This window comes from Homo sapiens, chromosome 11 (genome assembly GCF_000001405.40).
Source record: "Homo sapiens chromosome 11, GRCh38.p14 Primary Assembly".
Classification (NCBI taxonomy): domain Eukaryota; kingdom Metazoa; phylum Chordata; class Mammalia; order Primates; family Hominidae; genus Homo; species Homo sapiens.
Genome location: NC_000011.10, coordinates 77,521,174 through 77,547,075, shown reverse-complemented (window position 1 = coordinate 77,547,075; position 25,902 = coordinate 77,521,174). Strand labels below are relative to the sequence as shown.

General features: G+C 41.0%; 1 protein-coding gene and 1 long non-coding RNA gene across 2 annotated transcripts in view, besides 1 other annotated feature; both read left to right on the top strand.

Moving 5' to 3' along the window:
• Nucleotides 1-3,768: 3,768 nt before the first annotated feature.
• Nucleotides 3,769-12,838, top strand: LOC124902722 (uncharacterized). Its single transcript, XR_007062794.1, has 3 exons — nucleotides 3,769-3,803; nucleotides 7,028-7,135; nucleotides 11,812-12,838. It is a non-coding gene; the product is annotated as an uncharacterized LOC124902722 (long non-coding RNA).
• Nucleotides 17,067-25,902, top strand: part of PAK1 (p21 (RAC1) activated kinase 1) — a 207,993-nt gene continuing 199,157 nt past the window's right edge. Inside the window, exon 1 of the mRNA XM_024448560.2 lies at nucleotides 17,067-17,128. The gene's annotated coding sequence lies outside the window, so the exon portion shown is untranslated. The remainder of the gene's footprint in view (nucleotides 17,129-25,902) is intronic.
• Nucleotides 21,238-21,532: a silencer, noted in NCBI's record as "tiled region #3332; HepG2 Repressive DNase matched - State 9:DNaseU". NCBI's record gives its function as "represses a minimal TATA promoter and a strong SV40 promoter by Sharpr-MPRA in HepG2 cells {active_cell/tissue: HepG2}" and the evidence as "EXISTENCE:reporter gene assay evidence [ECO:0000049][PMID:27701403]".

The window sequence follows — 25,902 nt, the reverse complement described above, 5'->3', positions numbered from 1 at the left end:
TCCATCCATCCATCCATTTGTCCATCCATCAAACATATCTTTACTTGGAGCCTACTATGTTACAGGCACTGAGTCTGCTAGTGGGCAGTCAATAAGTGATAAATCCCTAATAACCTGATGACTAACTCAGTCACAGGTAGGTCCAATTTTACATGGTACTTTTTTTTTTTTTTTTTTGAGACAGAGTCTCGCTCTGTTGCCCAGGCTGGAGTGCAGTGGCACGATCTCAGCTCACTGTAGCCTCCGCCTCCCGGGTTCAAGCGATTCTCCTGCCTCAGCCTCCTGAGTAGCTGGGATTACAGGTGTGCGCCATCACGCCCGGCTAATTTTTGTATTTTTAGTAGAGACAGGGTTTCACCATGTTGGTCAGGTTGGTCTCGAACTCCTGACCTCGTGATCCGCCCACCTCAGCCTCCCAAAATGCTGGGATTACAGGCATGAGCCACTGCACTCTACATGGTACATTTTTGAGAAGAGATTGGAGAGACAAGGGAACTAGCATTTACTGAAGAGTTGCCTATTAGGCAAGGTGCTAGGTGCTTGCTTTACATGCCTTATACTGTTTAAGACTATCTAATGAGATAGGTTATCTCCATCTCCACTTTACAAAGGAGGAAGCTGAGGATTAGAGAGCTTAATAACTGGACCAAGGACCAACAGCCAGGAAGTGATGGAGCTGGAGTCTGGATACAGAGGTCCCCAACTGCAAAACCACCACACTGTGAGCCTTGCATGGGGCTCCCTAGAACAGCAGAAGGGACAACATGGTCCCCTCCTGTCCTGTGTCTGATATAAATATTGCTTTTTTTTTTTTTTTTTTTTTTTTTGAGATGGAGTCTTGCTCTGTCGCTCAGGCTGGAGGAGTGCAGGGGTGCAATCTCGGCTTGCTCAACCTCCACCTCCCAGGTTCAAGTGATTCTCCAGCCTCAGCCTCCTGAGTAGCTGGAATTACAGGTGGCCGCCACCATGCCTGGCTAATTTTGTATTTTTAGTAGAGATGGGGTTTCACCATGTTGGCCAGGCTGGTCTCAAACTACTGACCTCAGGTGATCCCCCCACCTCGGCCTCCCAAAGTGCTGGGATTACAGGCATGAGCCACTGTGCCTGGTGACATATTGCTTTAAGTTAGGTTTTCTTTTTACACTTTCACACCCAAATCCCTCATTTTCAGCTTTTTAAAAAACTTATATTTTTAGAGTGATTTACTTGTGGTTTCTCATAAAAGTCAAATTTCCCATCAATACTTTCTGTTATAAACTTGGACACGGGACAGAGCACATGAAAATCAATATTTCATATGTAATCATGTGTAATTTGGGTATTCATTAGTTTGTTTTTATTTTTTGTTTGTTTGTTTGTTTTTGTTTTTGTTTTTGTTTGAGACAGAGTCTTGCTCTGTCACCCAGACTGGAATGCAGTGGGTCAATCTTGGCTCACTGCAACCTCCACCTCCCGCTTCAAGCGATTCTCATACTTAGCCTCCCGAGTAGCTAGGACTACAGGCACATGCCACCATGCCCAGCTAATTTTTTTTTTTTTTTTTTTAGTAGAAACAGGGTTTTGCCATGTTGGCCAGGCTGGTCTCGAACTCCTGACCTCAAGTGATCCTCCTGCCTCAGCCTCCCAAAGTGCTGGGATTACAGGCATGAGCCACCACGCCTGGCCATAGTTTGTCTTTACTTGATTATATTTATTTTAATTGATCAGTTGCTATGTTAAGAATATCAAAGAAAATTTTCAAGAAAATAAAAAAGATTACCCCAAGTCTCGTATTCTAATACAACTATTTTCATTGTAATTCATACTCATAGTACATATTTTTCTTTGTAAATTCTATCGTAAATAAACGTAGGCTATTATTTTGATTATTTTCACTCAACATTATTTAAGGATCATTTACTCATGTTTCTATGTAGCCCTCTTTTTTTTTCTTTTTTTTTTTTTTTTTTAGAGAGGGTCTTACTGTCCCTCAGGCTGGAATACAGTGGTGTGATCATAACTCGCTGCAGCCTCGACCTCCTGGGCTCAAGCAATCCTCCCGTCTCAGCCTCCCGAGTAGCTGGGACCACAGGTGTGTGCCATCACATCTGGCTAATTTTAAAATTTTTTGTAGAGGCAAGATCTCACTACGTTGCTCAGGCTGTTCTTGAACTCCTGAGCTCAAGTGATCCTCCTGCCTCCCAAAGTGCTAGGATTACAGGCTTGAACCACCATGCCCAGCCCTATGTAGCCTTTTTTTTTTTCAGACAGGGTCTTGGTTTGTGGCCCAGTCTGGAGTAGAGTAACGTGGTGTGGCCTCAGCTCACTGCAACCTCCGTGTCCTGGGCTCAGGTGATCCTCCCACCTTAGCCTCCCAAGTAGCTGGGACAACAGAACCACGCCCAGCTAATTTTTCTATCTTCTTTCTTTCTTTTCTTTTTTTTTTGAGATGGAGTTTCACTCTTGTTGCCCAGGCTGGTGTGCAATGGCTCAGTCTCAGCTCACCACAACCTCCGCCTCCCGGGTTCAAGTGATTCTCCTGCTTCAGCCTCCTGAGTAGCTGCCACACCTAATTTTGTATTTTTAGTAGAGATGGAGTTTCTCCATGTTGGTCAGGCTGGTCTCGCCTGATCTCAGGTGATCCGCCCACCTTGGCCTCCCGAAGTGCTGGGATCACAGGCATGAGCCATCGCGCCCAGCCTAATTTTTCTATTTTTAGTAGATACAAGGTTTGTCCATGTTGCCGAGGCTGGTCTCAAACTCCTGGGCCCAAGCTATCTGCCCGCCTCTATGTAGCCTTCCTAAGGATCACATTTAACGGCTGACCAATAGTCTATCAATTTACATATTTTAAGGCCTTTAGAGATGAAGTTCAAGGATTACTGAAAAAAAAATGTTTTCTCCCTTTTTAATTCATGATTTAAGCAATCTGCTGAAGCACAGCTTTAATTCTTTTTGCAGTATCCATTCAATGTGTTACAACACCAAGAGGATAGAAAACTATTTTTCTAATAAGTAGGACAGTGTCTTTTTGGTTTTGGAGGTTTTTGTCAGAATTGGATTTGCAGTATTAGTATCTCAAGATAGTGGCCATGAGTCGAATCGGTTCTTATTTCTTCTCAAATCCTCAGTGCTCTGATCATGGCTCCTGCCTGCTGAAGCCCTCAGTTGCAGCTTCTGAAAACCTAGTTAGGCTTCAGTTAGTCAGTTATTCATCAGGGCTTTGCTTGGTGGACAAAGGTTCTTCCTGGTTTTGTTCTTTCAGTGCCTACTTTTTTTTTTTTTTTTTTTTTTTTTGAGATGGAGTCTCACTCTATCGCCCAGGCTAGAGTGCAGTACAACCTCCGCCTCCCGGGTTCAAATGATTTTCCTGCCACAGCCTTCTGAGTAGCTGGGATTACAGGTGCATGTCATCATGCCCAGCTAATTTTTGTATTTTTAGTAGAGACGGGGTTTCACCATGTTGGCCAGGCTGGTCTTGAACTCCTGACCTCCAGTGATCTGCCTGCCTTGGCCTCCCAAAGTGTGGGGATTACAGGCGTGAGCCACTGTGCCTGGCCAGTGCCTACTATTTCTGGCAGTGAGTCAAGCAGTGGAGACCACGGTTTTGTGTTTTTTTGCTGTTGTTTTTGTCATTGCTTTTTTGTGCAATCTTAAATGTGTTTCTTCTTTTTTTTTGAGATGGAGTTTCGCTGTTGTTGCCAAGACTGGAGTTCAATGGTGCGACCTCAGCTCACTGCAACCTCCGCCTCCCAGGTTCAAGTGATTCTCCTGCCACAGCCTCCCGAGTAGCTGGGATTACAGGCATGCACCACCACGCCCGGGTAATTTTTTGTATTTTTAGTACAAAAATAGAGACCGTGCCCGGCTTAAATGTGTTTCTTTCTGCAATCTCCTCTTCTACAGCTTAAAGGCTGCCAGAGGCAGCAGGAGAGAGAAACTGGGATGTGACCAAGGTTAGAGGTTTTTTCCCCCAGTCAGTACTGTAAGGTCATGCTTATCTCTAAGGCTTGTACTTAAAAGAGTATTTCAGGCCGGGCACGGTGGCTCACGTTTGTAATCCCAGCACTTTGGGAGGCCAAGATGGGCGGATCACCTGAGGGCAGGAGCTTGAGACCAGCCTGGCCAAAATGGTGAAATCCCATCTCTACTAAAAATACAAAAATTAGCCAGGTGTTGTGGCGGGCACCTGTAATCCCAGCTACTCAGGAGGCGGAGGCACGAGAATCGCTTGAACCTGGGAGGTAGAGGTTGCAATTAGCCGAGATTGCGCCTAGACAACAAGAGCGAGACTGCATCTCAAAAAAAAAAAAAAAAAAAAAAAAAGAAAGACAGTATTTCTTGACCTATGGTCGGGGAGCTACTATGGGCCACTCTTCTGACGGTCAGCAGAGGCCTACGAGGCCTCCTGAAGGGCTGGGCCTCTCCAGTTCTTGATCTGCAAATCCATTTTCCCTTTGTTTTAGCTAAGAGGTGGGATAGGAGAGAAGACAAAACATGGGGTATGTTCATGCAGAAGTGATTCATCAAAGTAGAAGAAATATTAAGAAATTTCCAACAAATGATAGAATGTTCTCATTCATCTTAAAATAAGCAGGATTCATCTCTGGGATGATTCATGCTGAGCACTGCAGCCAAATGGAACTGCTGTGGGCAGTAGATATTTATGGATTTAACATTCAAGGCTTTTACCATTCCTGAGTAAACGGTGGTCATGTTCATTTTTCTGAGACCTAAATCTGAATCCTGCACACTAGGACATGGACATGAAAAGGCAGGCTGGTGGGCTCTGCTCTTTAACATGTGAGGATGCAATGAGAGGTCAGCGGCCTGCAACCCAGAAGTCCCTCACCAGAACCTGACCCTGCAACACCCTGATCTCAGACTTCCCAGCTTCCAGAACTGGGAGAAATCAATTTCTAGTGTTACTTAAAAAAAGCAAGTCACATAGTTAGTTGCTAAGTTAGCCCAGCTAATGGTCCATCCTTTACAGCACGTGTAGCTTGGTAGCTATATACTCAGCATCATGTGTGCACTTTATGAGAAAAATTTCTTGATATAGTGGTACATAGGAACATTTAGGGTTCTAAAAGTACTTTGGATATATCCTTCAAAACTGTCAAAGTCTATCATTCTTCAATTCTACTCTGTTATTTCCTGCTTCCATGTCTTTGGATTTACTCTTATATCTGCCCAGCCTCCCCCCATATCCAACTATTAAAATTATGTTTAAGAAGCATGTCACCTCTCTCAATTAAGTTTTTCTTAATTATTTTTCACTAGCATAATCTCTCCCTGCTTAGGACCTCCTTAGAATTTTGTTTGTATCTTCTTTATGGCTTTTGTTTTATCCAATCTTGTATTAGGGTTCACTGGAGAAACAGAACCAACAGAATATATTTAGCTACATAAGAGGGGATTTATTATGGGAATTGACTCACGCAATTATAGAGGCTGAGAAGGCCCATGATATGCTGTCTTCGAGCTGAAGAACCAGGAGAGCAGGTGGTTAATTCAGTCTGAGTTTGAAGGCCTGAGAACCAGGGAAGCTGATGGTGTTACTCTAAGTCCGAGGCCAAAGGCTGAGAAACTGGGAGGCCACTGGTGTAAGTCCCAGAGGCCAAAGGCTGAGAAATTGGGAGGCCACTGGTGTAAGTCCCAGAGTCCAAAGGCAGAGAATCTGGAGCTCTGATATCCTAGAGCAAGAGAGAGGGTTGGTGTCCCAGAAAGAGACAGCATATGCACCCTTCCTCTGATTTTTTGTTCTATCCAGGACCTCACCAGATGTGATGACGCTTGCTCACATTGGTGAGGGGATCTTCTTTACTCAGTCTACTGATTGGAATGCTGATCTCTGCTGGAAACACCCTCACAGACACACCCAGTAATCATGTTTTACCAGTGATCTGGGTATCTCTTAACCCAATCAAGCTGACACATAAAATTAACCATCACGGACCTTCAATGATAATAATCAGTGTGCTCTATTTTATTTCTAACTCTGAGATTATAGTCATCTTTAGGTTACCAGTGGATCTTATTCATCTGAGAAGGGTCCCTATGTCCCCAACCACCCTACTTTCACAGAGCCCCCACATGACAGGGGCAAATAAATATTTGTTAAGTTGAATTGGGTTAAAGGCTGGTTCTGTTGTAGCAAAGTAAATAGACATCTTTGGATGATAGTTTTTGCTGGATGTTACTAGTACTTTTGATAGTCATCTATAAATAAAATGATATTGCTATGTTCTTTGGATAACCTGACCTAGGGAATACAGCAAATATGTGAGTCTGAGCCGGATCAATAGTTGCTCTAACATGGATGTTTAATATTCCTTTCATCTTCTAATTTGACAATTCTCTACCTTGTCCAACTCTGCCTTTCTCAAATCTAATTCCTATTCACTCTGTTATGGTACCCTCCTTTTTATTCCCTTTCTCATTACATCGTATTGAAACGTCAGAAAAATAGAACACTTGCTCTTGAGAGCCTATTGGCTCAAGTAGTCTAAATGGAGAGTGAATTTAAATGTTCTTTCTTATAGCAACATTTTAACCAAAGCCTGTATCAGCTTTAGAGGCACCTTCTAAACAATTTTGGGACCTGTTTCCTTTCCCTCCCCGAAATCCACTTTTTTTCCTTTCCTTCACAGGGAAGGGAATTTCTTGAAAATATTGTCTACATTGTCTTTCTCTGTATCTTACATCCTATTCAACTTATAGCTTATCTCGCTAACTGTGTCTTAGCCCAGGTTCTCTAGATTGCAGAGCCTGGGGTCAGGATTCAGGTGCTGATTCTCTTTCTGGGAGCTTAGAAAGGGAAAAATGAAGACAAGTCAGTGGAGGCAGGATGATGTGTTACAATGTTGGTCCCTGCTTCCAGCAAGCCATGATGAGAAACGGCAGGTGACTTAGCAGGTAGTGTCCTTCAGCCGTGGGAGTTCTCTGGCATGGCTGCAAGGAGCAATCACACCTTAAAATGGAAGGGAACAATGAGAAAAACGTATCTGTTTGCCTCACTTCTGTCTCCTATTTCCCATTTGTCAAGGTTTGCCCCACAAGAAGATAATTCCCTTCCACTTCTGCTGTGTAACTTCCATGGTGCATCATCTGGTCCATTGGCACCAGCTCAGGAAGCAAGATTTCATGCCTTGTGGTAGGTATGGCAAATGTTTCATTCTATCTGAAAGTGGAGGAGTAATTTTATGCAGAAGGGAGCATGTGTAGGCCATGCAGGTCTAGGACTTCAGTTCTGACTTCAGGCAACTCAGGGAAGTCAGCAGAGGTCCAGAGTAGTGGGAGGCGAGTGGTGCCTTTGGAGAGAAGGAAGTAGTTGAAGGAATGTGACAGGGAGCACGAGGTTATGCCCGATACACAACACAGGCAGAATTCACCCTCACCTTTCTACTGAAATTGCTTTTGCTGAGGTCATCAAAGAGGTCTTGGCAAATCCAGAGGACCCTTTCTAGTCCTTGTCTTACTGGACAGCTTTGCTCCATCTGACACAGCTGGCCATGTTCTACCCAAAACTCTGTCCTCCTTTTGTTTTCCTGATTCACAGAATAGGTTCTATTCCTACCTCTCTGGCAGTGTCTTCTTAAGGACGGCTTCCTTCTTCCATCTCTTAAAACTGGCTATTCTCTGTGGTTCCATTTTCAGCCTTCTTTCTTGTATCCTCACTCTCCACATTTAGCTGTCTTCTATGCGCTGATCATTGCCAAATCAGTATCTGAGGCCCAAATCTCTCTGCTCCAGGTCTATGTGTATAACTGTTTACATGTCTCTACCTGGATGTTCACCTCAGGATGTCAAATATAACAATGCTAAAATTGATTCATCCTCTATACTGCCCCCACCAACCCCCACCAAACCTGCTTTTCTTCCTGTGACCCTGTCTTGGTAAATATCACAAAAACAAGAACTGGGCAGTTCTCTTGAACTCCTGTCTTTCCTTCACATCTCACATTCAATAAGTCACTATTTTTTTTTTTTTGAGATGGAGTCTTGCTGTGTTGCCCAGGCTGGAGTGAAGTGGCACAATCTTGGCTCACTGCAGCCTCCGTCTCCCAGGTTCAAGTGATTCTCCTGTCTCAGCTTCCCAAGTAGCTGGGATTACAGGTGCCCACCACCACCCCTGGCTAATGTTTTGTATTATTAGTAGAGACAGGGTTTCACCATGTTGGCCAGGTTGGTCTCAAACTCCTGACCTCAGGTGATCCACTTGTCTTGGCCTCCCAAAGTGCTGGAATTACAGGCATGAGCCACTGTGCCTGGCCAACAAATTTTTAACTTTACATTATTGTGGACTATAGGTTCAATGCTGTACAACAGATCTCTACACTTACTTATCTTGCTTGACTGAAATTTTATGCCTCGGGGTTATTAATTCTTAATTTCCCTCTCCTCCAGTCGTTGGTAACCACCATTTCACTCTTTGATTCTATGAATTGGACTAGGCAGAATTGTGCCATATTTGTCTTTCTGTACCTGGCTTGTTTCACTTAGCATAATGTCCTCATTGTTCATTCATGTTGTCACATATTGTAGAATGTCCTCCTTTTTAAAGGCTGAATAGTATTCTATTGTCTGTATGTACCATCATTTTCTTTATCTGTTCATCTGTTGATGGACATTTAGATTGTTTGTACATCTTGGCTGTTGTGAATGGTGCTGCAGTAAACATGGGAATGCTAGTATTTCTTTAAGATCCTAATCTCAATTCTTTTTAAACATCCAGAAGTGGAATTGCTCAGTCAAATGGCAGTTCTATTTTTAATTTTTTGAAGAAATTTCATTCTGTTTTCCATAGCAGCTGACCATTTTGCATTCTCACCAATGGTGTGCAAGGGTTCCCTTTTCTCCACATCTTTACCAATAATTGTTATCTTTTGTCTTTTTGATAATGGCTATCCTGGCAGGTGGGAGGTGATAGCTCATTGTGGTTTTGATTTGCATTTCCCTGATGATTAGCGATGCTGTTTAGCATTTTTTCATATGCCTATTGGCCATTTATATGTCTGCTTTGAAGAAATGTCTGTTCAGGTCAGGTCCTTGCCTGTTTTTCAATAGTGTATTAGGGTATTAGGTTTTGGTTCTTTTTTTTAACGATTGAGTTGCAGAAGTTTCTTATATATTTTAGAGATTAATCCTTTATCAGTTTATGGTTTACAAATATTTTCTCCCATTCTTCAGGTTGCCTTTTCACTCTGTTGAGTTTTTTCCATTGCTGTACAGAAGCTTTTTAGTTTGATGTAGTCCCATTTGCTTATTTTGTTTTTGTTGCCTTTGCTTTTGGTACTACAGATGAGGTCTCACTTTGTTGCCCAGGCTGACAATTTCTTTCTTTTGCATGTGGATATCCAGTTTTTCCAACACCATTTTTCGAAAATTTGTTGAAAAGGCTATCTTTTCCCCATTGTGTATCCTTGGAATCCATGTTAAAGATCAATTGACTGTGTATATGTGGATTTATTTCTGGGCTCTCTATTCTGTTCCGTCAGTCTATATGTCTGTCTTTGTGCCAGTACCATGCTGTTTTGATTTGTAATATATTCTAATATATTAGCTTTGTAATATATTTTGAAATCAGGAGGTGTGATAACTCCAGCTTTGTTCTTTTTTTTTTTTTTCTTGAGATGGAGTTTTGCTCTTGTTGCCCAGACTGGAGTGCAATGGCACGATCTTGGCTCACCGCAACCTCTACCTCCCAGATTCAAGCAATTCTCCTGCCTCAGCCTCCCAAGTAGCTGGGATTACAGGCATGCACCACCACGCGTGGCTAATTTTGTATTTTTAGTAGAGACGGGGTTTCTCCATGTTGGTCAGGCTTGTCTCGAACTCCCAACCTCAGGTGATCCGGCCGCCTTGGCCTCCCAAAGTGCTGGGATTACAGGCATGAGCCACCACGCCTGGCCTTTTAGCTTTGTTCTTTTTGCTCAAGATTGCTCTGGCTATTTCCGTATGGATTTTTCAGAATTTTTTTTTTTTTCTATTTCTGTAGGAAATGCCATTGGGATTTTGATAGGGATTGCACTGAATGTGTAGATCACTTTGGGTAGTATAGGTATTTTAACAATACCAAGTTTTCCAATCTTTAAGCAATGGATGTCTTTCCATTTACTTATGTCTTATTTAATTTCTTTCATCAATGTTTTGAGTTTTCAGTATACAACTTTTCACCCTTTTAGTCAAGTTTAGTTCTAGGTATCTCATTCTTTTTTTTTTTTTTTTTTTTTGAGATGGAGTCTTGCTCTGTCATCCAGACTGCAGTGTAGTGGTGCAATTTCAGCTCACTGCAACCTCTGACTCCTGGGTTCAAGCGATTCTCTTGCCTCAGCCTCCCAAGTAGCTGGGATTACAGGCGCCTGCCACCAGGCCCAGCTAATTTTTGTATTTTTAGTAGAGACAGGGTTTCACCATGTTAGCCAGGCTAGTCTCGAACTCCTGACCTTAGGTGATCCACCCGTCTCGGCCTCCCAAAGTGCTGGGATTACAGGCGTGAGCGACCGTGCCTGGCTGGTATCTCATTCTTTTTGATGCTATTGTAAATTAAATTATTTTCCTAATTTCCTTTCCAGATACTTCATTGTGAGCATACAAAAATGCAATTGATTTTTATATTTTGTACCCTGCAACTTCACTGAATTTATTTATTAGTTCTAACAGGTTTTTTTTTTGTTTGTTTTTTGTTTTTTTTTTTGGATAGTGTCTTTAGGGTTTTCTACGTATGAGATTGTGTCATCTGCAGACAGGGAAAATTTTACTTTTTCTTTCTTATTTGGATGGCTTTTATTTCTTTTTCTTCCCTAATTGCTTTGCCTAGGACTTGCAGTACTATGTTGAACAGAAGTGGTGAGAGTAGGCATCCTTGCCTTGTTCTTCTGTTTTCACCATTAGTGTGATATTAGCTGAGGACTTTTCATTTATAGCCTTTATTATGTTGAGGTAATTTCATTCTGGCCTTAGTTTGTTGAGAGCTTTTATGATGAAAGGGTGTTAAACTTTGTTAAATGCTTTTTCTGCACCTATTCAGAGGATTATGTGATTTTTATCTTTTATTCTGTTAATGTGGTATATTAAATTTATTGATTTGCATATTTTGAACCATCCCTGCATCCTAGGGATGAATCTCACTTGGTCATGATGTATGATATTTTCAGTGTGCTATTGGATTTGGTTAGCTAGTATTTTGTTGAGTATCTGCATCTGTATTCATCAGGGATATTGGCCCGTACTTTCCTTTTCTTGTGATGTCTTTGTCTAGCTTTGGTATTGGGGTAGTGCTATATTCATAAAATGAGTTTGAAAGTGTTCCTTCTTCAATTCTTTGGAAGAGTTTGAGAAGGATTGATGTTAATTCTTCTTTAAATGTTTGGTAGAATTCCCCAAGTGAAGACATCTGGCCTTAGGTATTTTTGTTGCTGTTGTTGGGAGACTTTTAGTTACTGACCCAATCTTCATACTAGTTATAAATCTGTTTAGACTTTCATTTAGTCTTGGTAGGTTGTATGTGTCTAGAAATTCATTCTTTTTTTCTACATTGTCCAGCTTTTTGTTGGCATATAATAGTTCATAATAGTCTCTTATGATCCTTTTTATTTCTGTGACATCTGTTTTTCTTTCATTTCTGATTGTTTTTATTTCAGTCTTCTCTCTTTTCTTTCCTAGTCTAGCTAAGATTTTGTCAATTTTGTTTTATCTTTTAAAAAAAACTCAATTTTATTAATTTGTTTCTATTGTTTTATTTTATTTATTTCTGCTGTAATCTTTGTTATTTTCTTCCTTCTGGTAACTTTGGGCTTAGTTTATTCTTTTTTTTTTTTTTTTTTTTAGGTGGAGTCTCGCTCTGTCGCACAGGCTGGAGTGCAGTGGACAATCTCGGCTCACTGCAAGCTCCGCCTCCCGGGTTCACGCCATTCTCCTGCCTCAGCCTCCTGAGTAGCTGGGACTACAGGCGCCCGCCACCACGCCCAGCTAATTTTTTGTATTTTTAGTAGAGACAGGTTTTCACCGTGTTAGTCAGGATGGTCGCAATCTCCTGACCTCGTGATCCACCCGCCTCAGCCTCCCAAAGTGCTGGGATTACAGGCGTGAGCCACTGCGCCCGGCAATACATTCTTTTTAAAAAAAATTCCTTGGCTTGTTAAGTTAGGTTGTTTGAAATCTTTCTTTATTTTATTTTATTTTTGAGACAGGTTCTGGCTCTATCGGCCAGGCTGTAATGCAGGGACCTGATCTTGGTTCACTGCAGCCTCAGCCTCCCCGGGGTTTAAGCCATCCTCCCACATCAGACTCCTAAGTAGCTGGGACTACAAGCATGTGTCAGCACATCTGGCTAATTTTTGTATCTGTTGTAGAGATGGGGTTTCGCCAGATTGCCCAGACTGGTCTCGATCTCCTAAGTTCAAGTGATCTGCCCACCTTCCAAAGTGCTGGGATTATAGGTGTGAGCCACTGTGCCCGGCCTTTCTTCTTTTTAAATGTAGGCATTTTTCACTATGAACTTCCTGTTTAATACTGCTTTTGCTGCATCCCATAAGTTTTGACATGTTGTGTTTTCATTTTTGTCTCAAGGTATTTTTAAATTTCCTTTTTGATTTCTTTTTTGACAGAGTTCAAGAGTGTGTTGTCTAATTTTCACATATTTATGAATTTTCCAGTTTTCCTTCCGCTATTGAAAGGGATGGAGGTTGCAGACACATAGTACTCTGCCACATAGCTATAGCTAATGTCACTCCTCTCAACATACAGTTTTGATTTAAGAAAAATCATAGTTAACATTTTATATGTTAAAGAATATTGATCTCAGACCAATAACCAATATTATACTTAGCAATAAAACATTAGAAGCATTTCCACTGATGTTAGTAATTCAACTATAATTACCATTATTTAACATTATTCTGGAAGTGCTCATCAATGTAACAATGAGAAAAGGAAATGAGGGAGGTATAAATATTTGATAGGAAGAGATAAAATTATCATTTTTCCAAGATGATATGGTTGCTTGAGAAACTATTAGACTTAAGACACTTAGAAAGTTTGGCAATTATAACAGAAATATTAAAAAACTAATAGCTTTCCTATATATATCAGCAATACTCTGTTAAGATAGATAATGGAAGAAAGAACTCATATATGACAGCAATAAAAAAATCAAAGCACCTAGGAATAAACTTAATGATAAATGTACATATCTACAAAACTTTACCATGAAATCTAGAAAGAAATTTGAATACAGGGAAAGGCAGTCCACATTTCTGTATTAGAAAATTTAAAATTGTAAAGGTATTAAATTTCCTCAAGCTAAACCTATAAATTTAACAAAATCCCAATAAAAATACCTGGGAACTATTTTTAGAATGTGAAAAAAAAACTATTTTAAGGCTTATTTAGAAAAATAAATGAAGAATGTCAAGCACACTTTTAGGAAGAACAGTAGTGAAAAGTTCTTTCCTAACAGATATTAATGTGAACTAGCAAGATATAATAACTAAAACATTGCTGTTTTAGCTAAAAAAGAGACAGTTCAGAAATATATCCAAATGTGTATAAGAGTTTAGTATATAATAAATCTGCTGCCTCATGTCAGTGGAGAGAGTGTTAAGATGAACTGTCTAATCATTAAAACAAAGTTAAATCCAAACTCACATAGTACACTAAGATAAATCCAGAAGGATTAAAAATTTTAATGTAAGTACAAGAAAATACAGGTGAATATTTATAAAACTTTGGGGGTAAGGGATGACTTTGTAAACATGAAACTAAAGGCTTAAAGTATAAAGGATGATAGATCTGATTATATGAAAATGTAAAACTTTTATGTAGCAAAATTTATCATAAACTAAGTTGAAAGACAAATTACACTGGAGGAAAGTATCCTTAACCAAAGATTCTTTCTTTTTGTTTTTCTTTTCTTCTTTGACAGAGTTTCACTCTGTTGCTGAGGCTGGAGTGCAGTGAATTACCTAAACTCTGGGGCTCAAGTGATTCTCCTGCCTCATCCTCCCAAGTAGTTTGGACTACAGGCATGCGCCACCATGCCCAGCTAACTTTTTCATTTTTTTTAGAGATGGAGTCTCACTGTGTTGCCCAAGCTCATCTTAACTCCTGGGCTCAAGTGATCCTCCACTTCAGCCTCCCAAAGTGTTGAGATTACAGGCTTGAGCCACCACATCCAGACCAAAGATTCTTCTCTTTAACATTCAAAGATTTTCTTCAAATCAATAAATGAAAATACTTCTCCACTCACACTGCTTCACTTGACTAGCCTAAAAACAAAATTAAATTAAAAAGAAAAAAAGGGGCTGGGCACAGTGGCTCATGCCTGTAATCCCAGCACTTTGGGAGGCCGAGGTGGGCCGATCACGAGATCAGGAGATTGAGACCATCCTGGCTAATACAGTGAAACCCCGTCTCTACTAAAAATACAAAAAATTAGCTGGGTGTGGCGGCGGGCGCCTGTAGTCCCAGCTATCCGGGAGGCTGAGGCAGGAGAATCGCTTGAACCTGGGAGGCAAGAGGTTGCAGTGAGCCGAGATGGCGCCACTGCACTCCAATCTGGGCTACAGAGCGAGACTCTGTCTCAAAACAAAAACAAAAACAAAAAAAAGATTGACTAGAAAAGGCATTTTATATAAGAAAAACCCAAGATGGCCAGTAAACATGAAAAATGTTCAACTTCTTTTATTTATTATTGTTTAAAATTTTTGTGGGTATATAATTGTACATGCTTATGAGGTAATGTCATATTTTGATACAAACATACAAGGCATAATGATCAAATCAGTGTAATTGGGATATCTGTCACGTCAAGCATTTATCACCTTCATGTTTAGTCAAAGAAATGCAAATTAAAACCACAAAGAAAAAAACAAGGATTAATAAATGCACTGTAAAGAAGAGTTTGGAGATTCAGGCACTGTCAAACATGGTTAGGTCTATAAATGTATACAGTCCTTATAGGGGGTGTTCTACTAGGAATGTATAGCTAAGAAATAATTAAGGAGATATATATATATATATATATATATATACACACACACATATACATATTCCACTAATCTTCTTAATATATATCATGATGTGCTGCCTATAATAATAAAGAAGTGGAAACCTCAGTGACCAAAAACAGGGGATATATGTAGCCATTTCAAAAGAAGTAGAAGAATGGATAGGAACAACAACAAAAAAAATTTAAAGAAGGATATATTTATTTACTTGGGTTTTTTTGTTTTTTTGAGATGGAGTCTTGCTTTGTCACCCAGGCTGGAGTGCAGTGGCACAATCTCGGCTCACTGCAGCCTCCACCTCCTGGGTTCATGCAATTCTCCTGTCTCAGCCTCCTGAATAGTTGGAATTACAGGCATGTGCCACCATGCTTGGCTAAGTTTTGTATTTTTAGTAGAGATGGGGTTTCACCATGTTGGCCAGGCTGGTCTCAAACTCCTGACCTCAAGTGATCCACCCACCTCAGCCTCCCAAAGTGCTGGGATTACAGGCGAGAGCCACTGCGCCTAGCCTATTTACTTAGTTTTTTATTGGGGGTTTTCCAGTAAGAACCTGAAAACCCAACATGGATGGAGCTGGAAGCCATTATCCTAAGCAAATTAAAGCAGGAACAGAAAATCAAATACCACGTGTTCTTACTTACAAGCGGGAGCTAAACATTGAGTCCGTATGGACACAAAGAAGGGAACAACAGACACTGGGAGGTGGAGGGAGGGAGGATGGAGAGGATCGAAAAACTACCTATGGGATACTGTGCTTCTTACCTGGGTGACAAAATAATCTGTAAACCCAAGCCCTGTGACATGCAATTCACCTGTATAGCAAACCTGCACATGTACTTCTGAGCTTAAAATAGAAGTTAAAAACAACAACAACAACAACAAATCCTGAAAACCTCCTGGGCAAATTAAGGAAGGACATTTAAAATAACAAGGCAATCTGGAAATACAGCCAGTAGGGGGAAAAGTGTCAGTTTGACAAGCTGGCACTAGCGTTCTGATGGGGAGAGACTGTTTTGAGTTAGCAAAATAATTTAGAATCTCTGTCAGCTGGAGCAAACAAAAGGAGCAACAAATTGCCTTGCACAAAAGGAAATGGGAATTGGCAATAAGTGCTTTGGAGTTTACAGCCAGATTAAATCTGGAAAATGAAAAGGGGAGGAAGGGAAGAGGGGGAGAGGGTGGGCAGCTGGTGGAGGCATGGCCAGTGAGAATTGTCCAATGCCAGGAATGACTGGTGGACTCTTAAAAGAACTGTGAATACTTGGTTTCAAGATGTTCTCTGAGCTTCAATATAAGCTAGCCCCTCTAGCCCCCAAATCTTTCCTCAAAGTTTGCTAAACACACAACCGTATTTAGGCCATCTTTTGGGGAGAGAAGAGGTTGAGCAAGTGTCCAACAGGGTGATGTGTTGTAGAAGAAAGGGCAAGGTGCGCAGGAAGTATGAGGGGTGGAGATCAAGGCAGAAAATCAGAGGTAGAGGTGATCAAAAGAAACATACCTCTGGCTCAATATGAGACCCTTCAGAGATATCGGTAGGGACTTGGGTTTCATGACATTCATAGGATAGGGGTTTGAGCAGGATTCTTTTATATCTCAAAGGTTGGGGAGACTCCAGAAGGTTGGAGGACCTTGTGAAATATATGGGGGTTGGGTGACATGCTGAGGTGAGGAGAGGGAGAAGCCTTGGAAAATTGTTTAGAAGAATACACAGCATAAAAAATTTACCCATGATGCTAAGATGATAGCAATATTTATTTTTCTTTCTGTTCATCTCTATCTTGATTCTTCTATAATAAATCCATTTTACTTGAATAAATTTTAAAAAGAAAATATACTGAGTGGATAGATCAATCCACAGGTATAGAAAGCTGTCTGGTTGTTATCAGGAGCTGAGGGGAGAGGGGAAAGGGGAGTAATTGCTTAATGGGTATAGACTTTCCTTTTAGCATGATGCAAATGTTTTAGAACTGGATAGAGGTGGTGGTTGCACAACATTATGAATGTACTCAATGCCACTGAATTTTCACCTTAAAAAAGTTAATTTTATGTTATGTGAATTTCACCCCAATAGGAAAAAGGAGGAAAAAAATGTACTGGGGAACAAGACAAGATCAATCAGACTCTGCCACTCTTCTGCTGTAAGTCCTTCAGAGCCATCCTAACTCTTTGGCCTGGCTCCTCATGGCCTATCCCTGTCACTGCTCCAGCACAGCTACCTCTCCCTATAAACCTTGCTCTCCCAGTCATTCAAAACCATGTGCAGTGCTCTGAAAAGGCCTATTCTTTTCCGTCTTCTTGCCTTTGTATGGGTTTTTTCTTTTCTTGGAATGCCCTCCCCTTACTTTCTGCTCATCCTTCAAAACTCTGCTAAACATCTTCTCCTTTGAGATGCTGTCCCTGATTCTGTAGTCTGGGAGTGTCTCTTTCCTGCATTCCAAGAGCCTTCTGGGCATTTCTCTGTTACATGTAGGTGATTGTGAACCCCTGGAGAACAGAACCCAGGCCTTCCCCTTTGTTTACCTTCAGAACTTGGCTCAGGACAAAAGCTACAAGGAATGTGGAAAAAATAAGAATAGACATAGAATCACTGAGACTAAAATAACATCTTTTTCTAATGTAAAAGGTTGCCCTGGGCATGAAGTTTAAAAGGACTCAAAGATGTTGAAGTGGCTTACTGAGGCATATATCAAGACTGGTGATATAATATCTTTCCTCTGTCCCCTCCTGCCTTCTTCCTTTTTATGAATTATTTAGAGATTGCAGCATAGATAAAAATTCCAAATAGATTAATAAAAATGTGACTCTAAGTAGCAAAATGATTCTAAATGGGCCTTATGAGGTGGCAGAATGCTGATAGTCTTAGGAAAATAAGGCTAAAAGCTCAATGATTCTTGTGTAAATACACAATAGGTCATAAAATGTATATTTTTGAGACCTACATCCCATCTCAGGATGGTGTTTAAAAATACCTGTCTTGCGGGATTAAAAATGAACTTAATCCCTAACAAAATAACAGATCTAGGCAAAAATCATCAGTGGTTGCTAAAATTATTAGGTGAATGGTTGATAAGAAACTTTGCAATAGATAGATGAGGCTGACAACCTTTGAACCTACTGTACCACCTTTGCATTATTAACAGTGGGACAGCCAGACATTAATTGCCTCCTGATATGATGTAGTAGGAAGTATACAACACCAATTAAGAAATATTCTTGCCAAAATAATTGAACCTGAATTTAACAATTTTCTAACCACTGGTTTGTGAGAAATATGAAAAACCGAGAAGCATGCAAATTGACACCATAAGGATATAAAACATCAAATAAAAAAGATGGGAAATTCTCCAAGACACATGACTCAATTTCTTCAAGAAATAAATGGTATGAAGAAAAAGGGAGCTGGAAAAGTACAGATTCAAGAAGACTTGAAGACTTAAGACAGGTTGGGTGTGGTGGCTGATGCCTGTAATCCTAGCACTTTGGGAGGCCTAGGTGGGAGGATTGCTTGAGGCCAGAAATTTGAGACCAGTCTGCTCAACATAGCAAGGCTTCATCTCTACCAAAAGTTTAAAAATTAGCCAGGCGTGATGGCATGTGCCTGAGGACGCCGAGGTGGGAGAATCACTTGAGCCCAGAAGTTTGAGGCTGCAGTGAGCTATGATTGTGCCACTGCATTCCAGCCTGGGCAACAGAGGAAGACCCCATCTCTTAAAAAAAAAAAAAGAGACATATGTAACACATACAAACAAAAAAAAAAGTTATTTTTTGGAGATAATGTAGGAAAATTACGTGGATTGGATATTAGATAATATTAAGGAATTACTGTTAAATTTATTATGTGTGATAATGGTATTGTGGCTATGTTTTCTTAAGTTCTTATTTTTAGAGATTGAAATATTGATGATGAAATGATAAACCTTGAATTTACTTTAAAATGCTCTCCCAAAAATGTGTTTGTGGGGATAGGCTGGGTGGGGTGGCCCATGACTGTAGGATTGCTTGAGCCCAGGAGTTCGAGACCAGCCTAAGCAGAATAGTGAGATTCCGTCTCTACAAAAAATAGAAAAAATTAGCTGGGCATGGTGGCACTCGCCTGTAGTCCCAGCTACTTGGGAGGCTGAGGTGGGAGGATCACTTGAGCCTGAGAGGTTGAGGCTCCAGTGAGCTGTGATTGAGCTACTGCATGCACTCCAGCCTGGGTGACAGAGCGAGACCCTGTCTCAAAAAGAAAAAAAAAAGTATTTGTGGGGATAGATAAAACAATGATGCAGAGTATTAATAATTATTGACTCTGGGTGATAATGAACACATGGATTCATTACACTTTTCCTTTTTGTGTATAAAATTTTCCGTAAGTTTCTAAAAATAAACCTAACATTCAGTGGCAATGTAGTAATGTTAATAAGCCCATCTGCTGAGCCAGGACTATATCATATGAGAGCATTGTCAGACCAATGGAAAGATCTTGGCTTTGGAATCAGAAAGGTGTGAGTTTGAACCCTAGGTCTGCTACTTACTACCTCTATTACCTTGGACAAGTTACTTCTCTGAATCTGTTTTCTCACTCATAAATAGGGATAACATTACCTACATCAGAAGATTGGAGGGACATGTGAGGTGATCTATATAAAGTATCTATCATGTGCCTGGCACAAAATAAATGCTCTATAAATTAATGACCCAGGCCCAGTACGGTGGCACAGGCCTGTAATCCCAACACTTTGAGAGGCTGAGGTGGGCAGATTACTTGAGCTTAGGAGTTAGAGACCAGCCTGGGCAAAATGGTGAATCCCCATCACTACAAAAAATACAAAAATTAGCCCAGTGTGATGGTGCACACCTGTCATCCCAGCTACTCAGGAGGCTGAGATGGGAGGATTCCTTGAGCCTGGGAGGCGGAGGTTGCAGTGAGCCGAGATCATGCCACTGGATGCCAGCCTGGGCAACAGAGTGAGAACCCGTCTCGAAAGAATAAAGAAAATAAAAAATAAATTAACTACCTTATACCAATCCACTTATTCTTAATTTCCTTTATTGGTTTTTACAATAGATTTAAATAATCCAGAGTGTATGAAACAGAGTGAAATTTCCCCTCACCACACTCCCCAGTCTCACTCTCCAGAAAAAGGAGGCTTTAGCATGTATCTTTCCAGCCCTTTTTTTTTTTTTTGCGATGGAGTCTCACTCTGTCGCCTAGGCTGGACTGCAGTGGTGTGATCTTGGCTCACTGCAACTTCCACCTCCTGGGTTCAAGCAATTCTCCTGCCTCAGCCTCCTGAGTAGCTGGGATTACAGGTGCATGCCACTACACCCAGTTAATTTTTGTATTCTTAGTAGAGACCGGGTTTCACCATGTTGGTCAGGCTGGTCTTGAACTCCTGACCTCGTGATCCGCCCACCTCAGCCTCCCAAAGTGCTGGGATTACAGGCGTGAGCCACCACACCTGGCCTCCAGCCTTTTTCTTTATGTCTATAAATATACACAGGTATATGCAACCACATGTGGTGTTTTTTAACAAAAATGAAACCACACATATAATATTGTTCTGCATTTTACTTTTTCCACATTACAATACATATCTTTTTATGTCATTTCATATGATTCTACAGTTATAATTCAATAAACAATGTTACTCTTATGCCTTTGCTCCCTGGTGTATTTCTGTGAGCTAGAATCCTAGAGCAGAGTTGTTGGATGGAAGGCTATGTGTCATGTATCTTTTGTCAATACTACAAAATGGTCCTAATGTCCCTCCACACGTTATTTGGTTATTTTCACCTCAATTAAGATCTCAACATTATCAATTTTCCATACATTTCTAAGTTGCATTACTGTCTTTCTGGGTACCACTTCTCAATTGGCCATGAAAAGGTGTCAAAGAATAAATGCGTTAGATTAGCAAAAATCAGCCTCATGGAAAATAGTCAAGCTCCATCCTGCTATTTGTCCCTGTTAGAGAATAATAGGCTGCCTGCTGTTTTCAAGGCTGGATGTAGTGGTGGATTGGATAAAATAAATGAGAGTCCTAGTTTTCTTTGTGAAGAGCTAGTGAAGATTATGTGAAGCAGGATTCTGAAAGAAAGCAGGGGAATAAAACCTCCTCTCCAAAGAGGTCCCAGCGGATGGCAACAGTGCAAAGGTAGACAAAGAAAGAAAGGGGAAGGAAGTGCCACTTTGATTCCCTGGGGAGTTCAAGATCTCACTTTTCCCTCCTGTTGTTCTAGTGACTTTTAGAAAGGACAATTCCAGAGAAAGATGGTTTCAAAAAGAAAAGAAACCCAAACTGAATCCAATTCTGCCTTACTTATGTAAGAGCACCTGTCATGTGGTGTACAATTGGTCCCAGGCAGACGCCTGAGAAAGATCACTTTGTAAACCACCCTTCTGTCGAGGGAAGGCCAACAATTGTCCTTTGTCTATGGAGCCCTCCCATCATCTCACTATGCTGGTCCAAGCTGCTGAAAGGTTTGGGCAAGAAGAAATTATTCCATTGTCTTGTAGAAATTAGGTCAGTAAGGTGATGTCATTCATGATGTAAGGCTTTCCTTGCATCCTGGCTCTTCCTGATGTGGGAAATCATGAGTTGCTCCCTGGCTGCATGTAGTTCTTTCGGTCCATAATATGGGCACATAGAAAATGGCCTGCTCCATGTAAGAGCCATTCAAGTTCTAAAATAATTAAGTTAATAAATGTCCTGATCACTCTTGGACTTAGAGATAAGTTTTAATTTCACACTTTTTTTCCTTTTTTTTTTTGAGACACGGTCTGGCTCTGTCACCCAGGCTGGAGTACAGTGGCGTGATCCGCCTCCAGGGCTCAAGTGATCCTCCAGCCTCAGCCTCCTAGTACCTGGGACTACAGGTGCACACCACCACACCCAGCAATTTTTTTTTTTTTTTTTTGATAGGGGTGGGATTTTGCCATGTTGCCCGGGCTGGTCTCAAACTCCTGGGCTAAAGTAACCTGCCCACCTCGACCTCCCAACATGTTGGGATTAGAGGAGTGAGCTACATTGCCTGGCCTATTTTACACTTTTAAATCCGAGTTACTAACTCAGTAAAGTTTGAAAAACATCTCATTGTATTCAACCTTCAAAACACTTTTTGTCTTTAATTTGTTTGTAAGTCCAGGATCAAAGTCTTCTACTAATCCACAGATACAACCAGCAAATGGTTAGTTTGGATATAAGCCTTCTTGTAGACCTGTTGCTTTTTCTTTGACAGGTAATTTTAATTATTTTGACAAACATTTGTGTGTCAGGTACTGTCCCATGTGCTAAAGATAAAGCAAAACAAAACAATGAAAATTCTTGCCCTTGTGGGTTTACATTCTAGTGAGGAAGCTTCATTCATTCATTCATTCATTCATTCTTTCAACAAGCACCCATTGATCTTCCAGTATGACTCAGGCCTTAAGCCACATACTGTGAATAAACAGGATTTTAGCTCTAATCTCAGAATTTAGTGGGAGAAATAAGATGTGTGCCCTTCTCTCCTCCAACCCTCCCCTACACAGAGAACACAGAAGAGGGCAGGCTTGCTCAGCTTGCTCAAAGAAAGTTTCTCAAAGAAGATGGCATGTAAGATGAAACTTGAAGAATGAAACTGGTGAGGGAGAAAGGCGGTCCAGGTAGGGAAGAGAGCGAGCATGGCATGCACGTGGCATGAGGCATGCTAGGAGATGGATGAATGCAGTTGAATGGATGAAACTACCCCAGTGGAGTGCACACTCCAGGGGGCATGTTCTGGGAACTGTAAGTCCCTTCCTGTGGCTGAAATTTAAAGTATGTTGGGATGGGCAGGAGATGGAGCTGGGGAAGGAGGAAAAGTCCAGACATGAGGCAGGCATGGTTATGGGCCTTTGTCCTGATGACAATTAGAACATTAATGGATCATTTTAAACAGCAATATGCCATGATCCAACGATGTTTTATTCTTTTCTTGATAAAGGTGTATTTGAAAAATTACATAAATAATATGCGTTTATTTTGGAAGACTCATTGGGGCCTTTCTGTGGGAACAATGATTTCATTCTCCTATTTTTATTACCAGTACATTGCACATCTCTCTGTGTCTCTCTATTGCTGTAAAAGAACCTTTCTCTCTGATTGGACTTGACACACAGAAGGATCTCAGTAAAGATTTGCTGTTGTTGATGTCCACAGACACTGGCAAGGTGCAGCCAGATTACACAAGGCCGTGATCTGGTCCAAACGTGACACTGAGAAACTGGAGCTTCACCAGATTGAAAAATTTAACACTTCCATTGCCACTTCACTGTCATTATATTTTTTAAATTCTCATTTTGAAAAACTTTTTATTATGGAAAAATGCATATATATTAATGCATATTTTAAAAGTATGAAGAGGCCGGGTGTGGTGGCTTATGCCTGTAATCCCAGCACTTTGGGAGGTCAAGGCGGGAGGATCACGAGGTCAGGAGTTTGAGACCAGCCTGGCCAACATAGTGAAACCCCGTCTCTACTAAAAATACAAAAATTAGCCAGACATGGTGGCGTGTGCCTGTAGTCCCAGCTACTCGGGAGGCTGAGGCAGGAAAATCGCTTGAATCTGGGAGGTGGAGGTTGTGGTGAGCTGAGATCGCGTCACTGCACTCCAGCCTAGGCAACAGAGTGAGGCTTTGTCTCAAAAAAAAAAAAAAAAAGTAGAAAGCATAGAATGATAAACCCTCATGTGCCCATCATCCAGCTTCAATAATTAACAACTCTTAGCCAAAAATTGTTTTATTTATATCCTTCCCTCTCCTTGACCACTGCATTATTTTGACATAAATCTGAGATATTATATATTTTAGTATGTATCTCTTAAGGATAAGAACCTTTTAAAAAATTTTTCAACTATTATTTTAGATTCAGGGGTACATGTGCACGTTTATTCCATGGATATATTGCGTGATGCTGAGGTTTGGGGTATAACTGACCCCATCACCCAGGTAGTGAGCATAGTACCCAACAAGTAGTTTTTCCACCCTTGCCCCTTTCCCTCTCTCAGCTGTCTAGTAGCCTGAAGTGTCTATTGTTCCCATCTTTATGTCCATGTGTACCCAGTGTTTCGCTCCCACTTGTAAGTGAGAACATGTGGTGTTTGACTTTCCATTCTGCATTAATTGGCTTAGGATAATGGCCTCCAGCTCCATGTGTGCTGCTGCAGAGAACATGATTTTGTAATTTTTTATGGCTGTGTCATATTCCATAGTGTATATGTATGGCATTTTCTTTATCTAATCCACCATTGATGGGCACCTAGGTTGATTTCATGTCTTTGCTATTGTGGACAGTGCTATGATGAACATATGAGTGCATGTGTTTTTTTGGTAGAATAATTAATTTTCCTTTGGATATATGTCCAGTGATAGGATTTCTGGGTCAAATGAGAGTTCTATTTTTAGTTCTTTGAGAAATCTCCAAATTGTTTTCCACAGTGGCTGAATAAATTTACATTCCCACTAACACAGTGTATAAGCATTTCCTTTTCTCTGCAGCCTCAACATCTTTTATTTTTTGACTTTTTGGTAATAGCCATTCTGACTGGTGTGAGATGGTATCTCATTGTGGTTTTGATCTGCATTTCTCCAATGATTAGTGATGTTCACAACAGGATGCAATTGGAGAAACTGGTTGTCTTACTAAGGCTTTGACTGGAAGGGTATGTGCTTCCCTTTAAGGAGTCAAGCTCAACTTGCAGAACTAAGAAAAGCTCCTTGGGAAACCTGATCTCACACCCTTGTCTACACAGTCCCCATGCAGGATTCCTAACCTGTGGTGAGTAAAGAATGTTACTTTCCAGCAGGCCCAGGAACCACATGTTCTTGGGACCTCAAGAAAAGAGAAGTTTATTCAACTTGCAGGTATTTGAGGATACAAACCCATCGCTGGCCTGGCTTTAAAAGGTCTTATCTGAGATTCCTTGTGGAACAGAGTTCCATTAAAGCCAATCTAAAAGGTCTATGTAGAAATAATTATTCTTGCTGCACTTTATGCAAATAATCTGACCAAGTATAAGACTAAAGTCTATTTTGCAAACAATGCAATCCTATCATAATTTGTTTTTAATGAAAATGAGGACTAGAGAGTGAAATTATGTTTCAAATCTCATCGTCATTAGATTCTAGACTCATTAGGTGTTTTTAAGTTTTTGCCTACATTTTCGGCTAACCCTGCTTATTCCTGTGAACCATCCAGCAATCTCTGGCTGCAGCTCAGAAAGAACAAAAGGGATGGGTAATGTAGAAATCCGGATCAATATTCTAGTTCTGAGCAATTATCCTGCAAATCCTGCCAGGTGATGGGAATAAATAGGATGCCCTGGAGGTTTCCTTTTTGGGAAAGTAAGATCAAGGGAGCTAACCAAGCCAAGCCCCATGCACCCAAATCTTGGCAAGCATAACTATCACCACTAGCTATCTGGGTGTGTCACAAGACATCCTTTTCTTTCCCTTGTTGGAGGAGGACTCAATTCCACAGCTGCACCTTAACATTCGGTTTATGATAAGGAGTACATGCACCACCCGCCTCCTGACACATTTTTTTTTTTTTGAGGTGGAGTTTCGGTTTTGTTGCCCAGGCTGGAGTGCAATGGCACGATCTTGGCTCACAGCAACCTCCACCTCCCGGGTTCAAGCAATTCTCCTGCCTCAGCCTCCCGAGTAGCTGGTATTACAGGCATGCGCCACCATGCCCGGCTAATTTTGTAGTTTTAGCAGAGATGGGGTTTCTCCATGTTGGTCAGGCTGGTCTCGAACTCCCAACCTCAGGGGATCTGCCTGCCTTGGCTTCCCAAAGTGCTGGGATTACAGGTGTGAGCCACTGCACCCGGCCTCACATTTTTGACCCAAACTCAATTCCAAGCTTTGGGTCAAAGCCCTAGGAAAGAAAACTGGATCTGAGGGATC